Raw genomic sequence first — 12,600 nt, forward strand, 5'->3', positions numbered from 1 at the left:
GAGCTGATTAGTTTTTAATTTTCTCTATTTTTTTCATTTCTGACTTTTTGCTTCTTTTAAATGAAACATGTATTTTGGTATTTGGGGCTGTGTTTGGAGACCCTTAAATCTTCCGGGAAATCATGTATTTCTTAGAATGCTGCCAACACCCTTAAGTGAGAATATTCTATTTATGATCTTATTCTTATTTAACTAAGAGGTGTTGCTTCTACTACTATAGAGGATTGAAGAATTCCTTTACATTCTTCCAGTGCAGAGCAAAAGGCAATGTTCCAAGACATCACACAATCCTATGGCCTTTGACTTTGAACATACTGGGCTTTGCAAATGCTCAGCAACTTTGAGAAAAGTTAAAATGACCACCATTCTGAAATTCAGAAGGAGTTGCTCCTTATAGCTTATTTTCCAATTTTTTTTCTGCTCTGACTTTAATCTTCAATATGATCCCACCTACTTTCTGTGTCCTAGAAATATGTGTCACCCTTTCCTCACCAGATGACCTTCATTTTTTTTTTACTCTTGTGAATTTTAGTCTATTTCCATTTTATTTCTATTCTTTAATTTAGGAAGAAATATTCAAGAGAAGGGAAATGAGCATATAGCATTAGGATTAGAAGTTCACACTCAAAGGCTACACTTTTACAAAATGACAGCATTACTCAATTTTCTTCATTCAAGAAAATCTTTTCCAACAGGAACAAATGAATCAAGAACCCAAGGAGAGAACTGGGCTTATGCTTTCAAATCAAAGGAAAGAAGTATTCTGACTTTGTCAAGGGTCCCATTAGCCACAGAGAAAGCAGTGACTTTCTGCATTCTCGTGTTTTCAGAGTTTTATTTTTTTCCCCATGCACTATCTACATTTATTATTATTTGTTTTTATTTTTAAATTTCAACTTTTATTTCTCGCTTGGTGTGGTTGTATTTCCTTCAGCCCCACAGGTGTCTGTAGTTTTATTTTCTTTACCCCTAGAGGCAAAGCCTTCCCATCATGAGTTACGCCTTGTCATTAGTTGCATGGAGGCACTACTCTCCTTATGTGAAATCTTTTCCTCTATGGCTGCACAAGCATCATCCGAGGGAAATATCTCTACCATCCTCCATCAGCACTGTGGCAACACTGAACCATCCAAAACTCAGTCCAGGGCAATTGGTCTGAACCCAAACTCTCATGGACTCATATCTAAATTCTGATATGCTTTTCAATAACGATTCCTCTTGATGTATTACTCCATCTTTACATGAAATCTTATTGCTAATGGACTCTAGGACTAAAACACCATCATAGATTTGGTCAGGAAGAAACACGTCTTGTGGAAGTTTTGATACATCTCAGAAAACAGGAAGAACACACTAATGAACAGTCTGTGCTAAACTCTGGTTCTGCACTTGGCCTCCAGAGAGCGATGCTGCACACACTGGAGCTTTTGTTTCTGTTGAAGATCAGTCCACTGCTCAGTTTCTTCTTCCTGCAGCTGGTTGAGTTCTTTCCAGACAAAGACAAGTGACAAGAATCAGAGTTTTAAAAGCAACCAGATTCATCTCTGCAGCTTTTGTAGTTTTATATAAACAAAGAGCTTGTCCAGCAAACCTTCCCCACACTTCTTGTTCTTGGTCTCTTCAGCCGCTTTCCTTCCTGTTCTCTGGAGATCTTGCAGAAAAGAGCCTGCAGTGTTTCCATTGCTCAGCCATGCTCCTGGTGCTCATCCCACTGCTGGGGATACATTTTGTCCTGAGTGAGTAAAATTTCTTTATCATCTCTAGTTCCACAGGTTCTGACTAGAAATGCTTGCTTTTTATACTGAGTCTGCACTGCTTTCACTGATAGTACATTACTTTTTCAGGAACTGTCAGAGCCCAGTCAGTGACCCAGCCTGACATCCGCATCACTGTCTCTGAAGGAGCCTCACTGGAGTTGAGATGTAACTATTCCTATGGGGCGATGTTGTGGGAAGTCAGGGACCCCAAACGGAGGGACCGGCTGAAGCCATGGCAGAAGAATGTGGATTGTGAAGATTTCATGGACATTTATTAGTTCCCCAAATTAATACTTTTATAATTTCTTATGCCTCTCTTTACTGCAATCTCTAAACATAAATTGTAAAGATTTCATGGACACTTATCACTTCCCCAATCAATACCCCTGTGATTTCCTATGCCTGTCTTTACTTTAATCTCTTAATCCTGTCAGCTGAGGAGGATGTATGTCACCTCAGGACCCTGTGATAATTGTGTTAACTGCACAAATTATAGAGCATGTGTGTTCAAACAATATGAAATCTGGGCACCTTGAAAAAAGAACAGGATAACAGCAATGTTCAGGGAATAAGAGAGATAACCTTAAACTCTGACTGCCAGTGAGCCAGGCGGAACAGAGCCATATTTCTCTTCTTTCAAAAGCAAATGGGAGAAATATGGCTGAATTCTTTTTCTCAGCAAGGAACATCCCTGGGGAAGAGAATACGTGCCTGGGGGTGGGTCTATAGACGGCCCCCTTGGGTGTGGCCATCTTCTATAGTCAAAACTGTAGGGGTGAAATAAATCCCAGTCTCCCATAGCACTCCCAGGCTTATTAGGAAGAGGAAATTCCCACCTAATAAATTTTGGTCAGACTGGCTGCTCTCAAAACCCTGTCTCCTGATAAGATGTTATCAATGACAATGGTGCCCGAAACTTCATTAGCAATTTTAATTTCGCCCCAGTCCTGTGGTCCTGTGATCTCGCCCTGCCTCCATTTGCCTTGTGATATTCTATTACCTTGTGAAGTACATGATCTCTGTGACCCACACCTATTCATACACTCCCTCCCCTTTTGAAAATCAGTAATAAAAACTTGCTGGTTTTGCGGCTTGTGGGGCATCACGGAACCTACCGACATGTGATTTCTCCCCCGGACTCCCAGCTTTAAAATTTCTCTCTTTTGTACTCTGTCCCTTTATTTCTCAAGCCAGCCAAAACTTAGGGAAAATAGAAAAGAACCTATGTGACTATCGGGGCAGGTTCCCCAATACGGCAACACCTTCTCTCTTCTGGCATGTCCAGTCCCCCGGCCAAGGCCTCCAGCTGCTCCTAAAGTACTTTTCAGGAGACACTCTGGTTCAAGGCATTGAAGGCTTTGAAGCTGAATTTAAGAGGAGTCAATCTTCCTTCAACCTGAGGAGACCCTCTGTGCATTGGAGTGATGCTGCTGAGTACTTCTGTGCTGCAGGTACCACAGTGCCTGGGTCTGCAGGGGAGCTGAACACAAACTGCCTATGCTAGAGAAGTTTTCAGAGACTCAATGTATCTTCCTGTGGCATTTTCAAAGATCTCTTATTTTTATGATGGTGAGTGAGGCAAAGAGAGCTGAGCACATCCAGCCATTTCTATATAATTCTGCAATTCCTGCTATGTCCCATGTCAGATAAACTTTGTTTTAGAAGCTTTTTGTTAATTGAAGAAACTGCATAATAGGAAATAGTATTCTAGAATGATGGAGGAGACATACTTCTTATCACCTAACAATCAGGTTCTCAAGGACCTTTCCTTGACTGTGACTGCATTAAGTGGTTGACTATGGGAATTTTGATATGGTCTAGGAGAACCTTGGTTTTCATTTATCATTTAATCTCTCAACTAACCCAGAAAACAAAACATAAGTTTCTCATGTTCTTACCTTGCAAGTTGCATCCTTGAGCTGGTCATTCACAGGATATTTTCTTAGAATTTATTTTTCTGGCTCTAACTGCGCAATTCAGATTTCAGGATATTTTGTCTCATACCTCTATTTAGGAGGAATTATGAGAAATTGTTAGCTAACAGTGAAAGTTTCATTAGAATCACGAAGGACTTAGAAAATTGTCACAGTGATGTGAGTTCTGGCAACTAGGAATAGCACACAAGGAGAATGAAGATTTAGAATTCATCAGTGTTTCTCCAAAGACTTTTTCAGTTATAAAAATAGCTTCTATTCTATTGGTATATTAATTATGCAAATCTACATTGTAAGTTTGTCTATGGAATTCCATTCATCTCTTCTAGCTACTGACACTTTTACTTGTTGCTTTCACTCTGTTGTTACATGGTTTCACTATTGAAATATTAAAGATTGATTCTCTTTTTTGAGATAGAGTTTTACTCTTTCACCTAGGCTGGAATGCAGTGGCATGATCATAGCTCACTGCAGCCTTGACCCATGCCCCCAGGCTCAAGCAATTCTCCCACCTCAGTCAGCTTCCTGAGTAGCTGAGACTACAGGTGTGCACCACCATGCCTGGCTAATTTTTTTTTTAATTTTTATTTTTAGTGGAGACAAGATCTCACTATGTTGCCCAGGCTGGTTTCAAACTCCTGAGCTCAAGCAATCCTGCAACCTCAGCCCCCCAAAGTACTAGGATTACAAGCATGAGCCACTGTACCTGGCCAAAGATTGATTCTTATATAGTAACATTTTGATAATCTGTCATGTGGTAAGTTTTGCAATGCCAAGCTCTGCTAGAAATACGGATAAGAGTTACAATGGTACTGGATTCCAGGCGGCTGCTGGAAAGTATAAATATGTGACTTTCTTATGTCTAGAATGGAAAGAACTGTATAAGAAGATTTTATACTCCTTGTCTGCTTGCTGCCTCGGAGGATAACCAGTGCTTCGGAGGAAAAGTAGAAGGAGAAGGAGAGAGCTCTTTAGCTGCCATTTAGCTCACACTATAAATGTCTAAGAGGGTAGGTGCATAGGGACCCTGAAAATATAGATCGAATAAGTAAATTGTGGCCAATGGCACTCCTTAGCCAAATAGTGAACCAAGATATCAACAGTATTTTTTAGGATGTAGTGTTATGAGTACATGTGATAAATATGTTTAAGCGATTTCTGGAATGCTGTGAGGAAGGTGAATGGAGTGTCAGATATATAAAATTATGAAAAAGAAATGTATGCTCATTTAATGTTCCTGCCTCAGTCCCTTCCTTCTTTTCTGTTTTTGGACCACACTCTCATCTACCACTGATAAGGCAAATAATTTCAAGTGACTCATTGTCATCAGCTCAGCCACACTGCCCAAAGGTACTTGTCATAGTATCATGAGCACTTCATGCAGATCGATTTGAGAAAGAACTGCCCGTTTCTTTTGATTCTGATCTCAAACTGAATATTAAAGAAAAATAAATTCCATACCAAGGACCCTGAGCAGCTGGGAGAGCATTCCCCATCTCCCCTACCTCACCTCTGCCTGAAAAATCAAAGTAATCTTCCTTCCTTCTATTAATAATTTGTTGCTTTTATATGAGTACGTGATTTGTAGGAGAAACTTTCCAAAATAAGGAATTATATTAAGAAAGTGGAGATTCTGAGTTATTTTATCAATGATATCAATCATTCTGACTTTTCAGAAAGAATTCTGACTTTTCATGAAATTAACTGATCTTACCACATATTCCATCACCGAGAAGCAGCTGCCCTAATTGAAAGGCGGAACACTTTACTGAAGACCAAGCTAGAGCCCTGACTGGGAGACAACAGCATGTATGCTAAACATTTTCTTCTCTCCCTACATCGTATTTTTTATCTGATATACAAGCTGTTGGAAACAAACTTTATAATTTAGTGTAAAGGTAACAGAATTTTCAGGCTGGGTGAGGTGGCTCACAGCTGTAATTTCAGCACGGTGGGAGGTTTAGGTAGGAGGATCACTTGAGGCAAGGATTTCAAGACCAGCCTGGGCAACATAGCAAGACCACATCTCTACAAACAATTAAAAAAATTAGCCAGGCATGGTGGTGCCCACCTGTAGTCCTAGCTACTCAGGAGGATTGCGTGGGCCCAGGAGTTCAAAGTTACACTGAGCTGTGATCATGACACTGCCCTCTAGCCTGGATGCCAGAGCAAGATCCTGCTTTTAAAAAAAACTTAGGAAGGACTGTCACTGAATTTGAAGAATTATTAATATAATCAGTGATGAAGTCAATGACTTTTGGGATTGTGCATCTTCTCATTTTGGAGAAAGGATGAAAAGTTCTTCAGTTGCAAGATGGAGTTCTGTATCTTGAAGGAGATAGAGGAATAGAATTATTTTGTTGTTGTACATGTTTCAAATGTTTGTAGAAGAATGTGTGTGTTGCATAGGGAAGCTTGAAGTAGTTGAAGGTATCGATTTATTGACTCTCAGCTCCAAATTCACTCCTTGCCTCTTCTGTGAAGGTGAATCTGGAACCTTCGACCATTTTTCTTTGCCAGTTGACACAATGTTAAGCTTTGTAGTAGAGAGTCAGGAAGAAAAAGTTTTGCTTTCTGCTTTCCATGTGCTCACTCATCAGGATCCTGCACCATGGGAGGCACCTGCAGTGCACAGTGCCCTGCAGTTTCCTCCAGAACCCCCCCATTTTAGGGCGATTCTGTGAAAGAGATCCTGCAGTGAGACACCTCCCTGTGAACAGCTTTCCCCAGTGTCCTAGAGGATGATTTTCTGCCATGTTCTAGAGGGTGAATTTCTAGCAAGTTCTGCTGGGACAGCACCACAGCAACTTCCCTTTCATCCAGTGAGCCACAGCTGTTTCTTTTCAATAAGATCTGGGTCTCAGCCCTGAGGGTGGGGCTACAGGCCTCTTCCCTGGTTATCCTACCCTGCCCTAGGAGTAGAGGCTGCACCTTATGTCTGCTATTCCTACAGGAATAGGAATAGCAGAATTTCTTTTCTTCATATTATTCATTCTCTTGTTACTCTAATACTCTGTTTATTAATCCTTAAATTTTTTCTGTTGAAATTCTATGGTTTCTCTTTCCTGATTGGACTCGACTTAGACATGCACCAAGGACTTCAAGCAACTGGAGAGCATCTTCCATCTCCCCGCCCACTCCTGCCTGAGATATCAAAGTAGTTTTCTTGTTTTATTTCTCTATTGATTTGTTTTGCCTGCTTATTGTTTTATTTACATTGTTGTTATATAATTATGAGAAAATTTTACAATAATTTTATTAAGAATTTGGAAATATTGTTAATATATTAATAAAATTAATTTTACTATTAAAATTTTTGTGCACATTATACACAGAATGTTATTATACCATTGGTGCAAATTGAAATCAATTTTAAAAGGTTTAGCATACTGCACAAATAGGCATTAATTCACCTATGAGGATGTGTCTGGAGATCGTAATTCTAAGTCATTTTTCTTGCATGTAACTCTCTCAATACATCATTATTTTTTGATTTTCTATTTCCTTCAGATGGAGGAAGAAGACAATGATAATTGCAAAACTATCTGTAGACAGAATATTTCTGTCACCCCAGAAGGTTTTATGTGTGCCTTTCTAGTCAACTCACCTTCTGGAGGCAATAGATGTTCTTATTTCTATCACCTTAGATTTACTTTACCCATTGTAGACTTCAAATCAATGGAATCATACAGTAGTTACTCTTTTGTGCCTGGTTTCTTTCATTCATCGTGTTTTTTAGATTCCCCCATGTTCTCATGTATATCAGTCATTCATTATTGCTATTGCTGAGTAGTATCTTATTATATGAATAAAGCACAATTTGTTTATCCATTCAGCTGCGCACACCACTGACTGGACATAGAATCTTTCAGGGATTAAATCTTTGGTATCATTCTTAAGAGTGCAAGGTACAGTTGTTCTAGATTTTTCTATCCTGTCTTTCAAGGGTAGGGCGTGTCTCTAAAATACTTCAGTTGAAACATGTATCTTAAATACCTTTATTTAAAAACCAATTTCTATCATTCATTATGGTACCTACTGTATCATTAGTTTTGCAAATAAAAACCCAACATCTAATATTCCCTATGCTATTTAGCAAAGCTTTGGGTATTATCCAAGCTGTGGGTAGCTGAACTGTAGTTTCCTCTGTTGTGGCCTTACGTATTAATAACAACAGTAGCTGACCACCCTGGAATTTGCTTTCCTGACTAAGTCAATTGACTCTCCTTAGAGTTGAGACTTAACTAGTACATATCCAATATTCTCTGGCTTTTGTCGAAAAGATTTAATGTAAATTATACATCCTAACACTGTGATATATTTATTTTTACTTGGTAACTGATAGATATTATGAACAAAATTTAGATCATTGTTCCTGCAGGTCCTGAAGATCTGTAAGTCATGTAATTATAATCCTTGCTCAACAGTTATTCTAGAGAACTTATTTAATATTTAGAGGCACTTTGCCCTTTACAGTACATACTAAAACCTTTTAAAGCTTGTTAGGTAACTTATGAAGAAAATTTCACTAATCTATTATTTAATACCAAATATACAGCATATACAATACACATTTTCAATCTTTTAAGCACATTAACAAAGTTCTCAGGATAGTTGGATCTCTGTACACAGTTTTTTACAGGAATATCTAAGACAAGGGAATACCTTTATTTAGGACACAAATGCGCCAAAACATGGGTATAAAAGTAGAATGTGGCCAGGCACGGTGGATTATGCCTGTAATCCCAACACTTTGAGAGGCTGAAGCGAGAGAATCTCTTGAGTCCAGGAGATTGAAACCAGCCTGAGCAACAGAATGAAATCCCATCTCTACAAAAAGTAAAAAAACATCAGCTGGGCATGGTGACACATGTCTGTGATCCCAGTTACATAGGAGGCTGAGGCAGGGAGTATTGCTTAAGCCTGGGAGGTCAAGGCTGCAGTGAGCCGCAATTGCACCACTGCCCTCCAGTCTGGGAAACAGAGTGAGACCCTGTCTCAAAAAAATAAATAAATAAAAATAAAAATAAAAGGTAGAATGTTAAAATGTTGAAGATAGTTTATATGTATATTTATAACTTCATATTGTTTTTTGTGATATGTCTTATATAATAGGAAAATAAAATTGACCTTTATATTAATATTCTAAGGCTGGCATAACAAAATATCACAGACTAGGTGACATAAACAACATAATTTATTATCTCACAGTTCCACAGGCTAGAAGCCCAAGATCAAGTTGTCAGCAGGGTTAATTTCTTCTGAAGTTTGCAGATCATGTTGCCTTTTCATTGTGTCCTTACACGGTCTTGCCCCTGAGGGTACGCATGTCTGTGTCCAAATTTACTTTTCTTATAAGAAGAGCAGTCATATTGAATTAGAGTCCACTTATGTGATGTCATTTTACATTAATTATTTCTTTAAAGAGCCTATTTTCAAGCACCATTACGTTCTGAGGTACTGGGGGTAAGGGCTTCAACATGTAAATTTTGGGTTGGATAGAGCTCAGTCCATAACAACTCTCCAAGTAAATATTACGTTCACAAACAAGACAGTTGAAACCTTTCTTTGTGCAATGCTTTACTAACTTCTCGTGCACACAATGATCGTGTATAACTTTGATGGAGATTTTCCTGTATTGAGTTTCTTTCTAGAGGAAGGAGAAATGTGCAATTACAAATACAGATAGCTTATAAGATATTCTACATTGCAAAAGACCAGTGATAAAAATTAAAAGCTGTTTTTCAGACTTGCCTTCTTTTTCCTCTGCTCCACTGGGGTGCAGAATTCTCTCATGTTTAGATTTGTTCTTTTCTGAAGATAAATCTTAATTTCTCCTTGGTATTTTATCTCTGACAGTTTTCCTTTCTTTCCCCATTCCGTTTTCTGTCTGCATGTTACTTTTTTTTACCTCTGTCTTATCGTTTGTCTAATATTAGATTCTACCTGTGCAGAAGCCAATTTAGCTAACTTGCTGTTTTTCTCCTGCACTCCTCCTTTACCACCTCATCAGCAGAACTGACATTTAAAAAAGAAAAAAGAATTGAAATTCTTTTGAAGTTGTTTAGGGCAAGTGAAGCGGGTTAAGTGGATGAGGAAGGTGGCTACAGTCCTTAAACACAGGGGCAGCAGGAAGAATTCCATCCTATATGCTCAGCTTTCTTGAGGATTGTTTTCTGTTTTTTTTTTCAAGTAGTATGTATCAATATTTTAAATTTTGATTCAACCAGATAATCTTTTTTAAAAAATATATGCTTTGGTTGCTGACATGCTTGGATTCATTTTAAATATATTTGTTTTATGCAGCATTCTCTTGATTTTTTTCTTATTTCTTTTTAGCCTGGCTTCTCTTGCATTGATAAAGTTTGATTTTTCTTCATACTGCTTTGAAAATGTAATGTGTATTTCTGTTATGATAAGTACCCTTGTTATATAAATGTATGTATAGAAATATAAAATACATATGAATGTATGTATATATGTGTATGCATATATAAATCTAATTTTTATGCCCAATGTTATTCTTTTTTTTCCCTCAGTGTTATTCTGTAACATTTTGCTTGTATATCCCAGTCCTTCTCCTTTACCTCCTGCTGACTTATGAATTTTAGAATTACCTTCGTGGCTGATTGGAAGAAACTACACATAAGCTATATACATCAGGACAATAATTTCAGTAAGATATTATGAAATGAACAATAAACTATAGCTCCAATGTACATTAAGAAAAGTAATAAAAAAGAAAAGCATCCGACACAATAATTGCAACATGAATTTGCTCCCTTCATCCTCAGAGCCATTGTCCCTGATCTTCCTTCTGCCTGGAGTGTTTTTCACCATTAGCCACATAGATCCCTTCACTGGCTCATAGTCTTTGCTCCTGGAGAAACATGGGAACATGTGAATAAAGTAGAATGCTCAAAAAGTTTATTGCAGCATTGTATTTCATAGTTAAAGAAAAATCATTGTATTAGTCCATTCTCCCACTGTTATAAAAATGCTGAGACATGATAATTTATAAAGAAAAGAGATTTAAGTGGCTCACAGTTCCACAGACCATACAGGAAGCACAGTAGCATCTGTTTCTGGGGAGGCTTCAGGGAGCTTTTACTCAAGATGGAAGGTAAAGAGGGAGAGGCCGTCTTACATGGCAAAAGCAGAACCTAGAGAGAAAGGGAAGGTGCTACACACTTTTAAACAACCAGATCTCAGGAGAACTCAGGACTGTAGCAAGTGGGAAATCCACCCCCATGACCCAATCACCTCCTACCAGGCCTGACCTCCAGCATTGGGTATGGAATCCTGATTAGGGAAAAGGAGTCAGGCTAGCAGGACCAGGGGAAAGCAAAGGGATAAAGAAAATAAGCTATAGGTCTGCCTTTTTTTCATGGTCCAGGACATATAAACAGAAAGAGGAAGCAGATAAGCTATAGGTCTTTCTTTATGGCTCAGGACCTATAGCTCTCCTGAGCAAATAACGTACATAACTCACAGACTTCCTGCTTATCATCAAACACCTCTATCTATCATCAAAAACCTCAGTTGACAGAAGAATGCAAGTTAGTTCCTTGCTACCTTGGCATTACCAGTACTGCATGCAGCACTCGGCAACCCAAAAACATCCTATAAAATCTCCAGCAGGCCTTTGTTTCCTTGCCATCAGCTCCTCTTCGGCTGATTGCTCCCTGGCAACTACTTTCATACTTTCTTTAATAGATCTGCCTTTCTTTATCTACAACAGTCTTGGTAAATTATTTTATCCCCACACCACCAGCCCAGGTAGTCATCACTCACCTGGGACATTGGGGATTACATTTCAACATGAGATTTGGGCAGGGACACAGATCCAAACTATATCACACATCATCTTAAGTCTTCATCAATAGGGAGAGGACTATATAAACTGAAGTATATCTCTAATAGGGTGCAATGTAGCAGAAGTTCCCGTATGTGTTAATATAATAAGCTCTGCAAGATATATTATTGAATTTATAGTGTGAGTTACAAAAAGGTATACATGAGATGCATCATTTGGTATTAAATTTTAAAATTATAAATGAAATACTATTTATTTTCAGCATTTTTTGTATTTAGTACATGTATATAATGCTATAGTAAAACATTTGGAAGTATCAACTCCAAATTGATAAGATGAAGGGAGAATTAGGGTAACGAGTGATGAAAGAATCAGAACTGGGAGTGGTAGTAAAAGTGGATTTTCGTCTACCTGGTATGTTGTATTACTTTTAATAATTTCAAATGTTCATGAATTCTTTATAATATTAAACCAATAAAAAGTCATAAAAGCCATCATAAAGGTTTATCCATATTCTATTCTATTATCCTCATGAAAAAGGAGAGAAAGAGGGAAATGACCACCCTTTTTATAAGGTCTTGTCCAACCTTCCTAAGTATTTCTCCCACCTCTGGGATCATATAGCTTTTAGTTCACATTCTGCTTAGGATCCCACTCTTTGATTCTATTATAGACATGTGTAGTTTTGTACTCTTCAGTAGATTATGAACTAATGTCTCATCACTTTTTACATACTCTTAAAACCTAATAAATTAATCACTTATGGTAATACTTCAAAAAATCTTTTTGGATTTTCTAAAACAAAATCAGAGAATTCAAATAAATAGCGCAAGATGGGAATTGTCAAATTATTTTAAGATATTAATTTCCATGAAGTGGCATTTTAAAAGTGGTAATTGGTTCACTGTTAATCCCCATTCAGTCTAGGCAGCTATATTGTTTTCTGACCGCCTCCATTTCCTTCATAGGAAACATGAAGTGAATGGGGCTGTGTGTGTGACTACTGAGGAGTTAAGTTGGTGCAAAGTGGTCTTTGTTGATGGTTTCAGTCCACTAGGGGGCACTCTAGGACTTCCGAAATGAAGACTTTTTC

General features: G+C 38.0%; 1 pseudogene and 1 further gene, besides 4 other annotated features; both read left to right on the forward strand.

Annotated features, from left to right (window-relative positions):
* Positions 1-12,600, forward strand: part of TRA (T cell receptor alpha locus) — a 930,229-nt gene that overhangs the window by 279,483 nt on the left and 638,146 nt on the right.
* Positions 1,691-1,740: a sequence feature (TRAV8-5 leader sequence).
* Positions 1,691-3,212, forward strand: TRAV8-5 (T cell receptor alpha variable 8-5 (pseudogene); annotated as a pseudogene). The gene is given in 2 exon segments: positions 1,691-1,740; positions 1,845-3,212. Coding segments are annotated over 2 exon segments (1,418 nt in total), but the record flags the coding sequence as incomplete, so codon positions are not given.
* Positions 1,845-1,855: a sequence feature (TRAV8-5 leader sequence).
* Positions 3,220-3,241: a recombination feature (spacer).
* Positions 3,242-3,250: a recombination feature (nonamer).

This window comes from Homo sapiens, chromosome 14 (genome assembly GCF_000001405.40).
Source record: "Homo sapiens chromosome 14, GRCh38.p14 Primary Assembly".
NCBI lineage: Eukaryota > Metazoa > Chordata > Mammalia > Primates > Hominidae > Homo > Homo sapiens.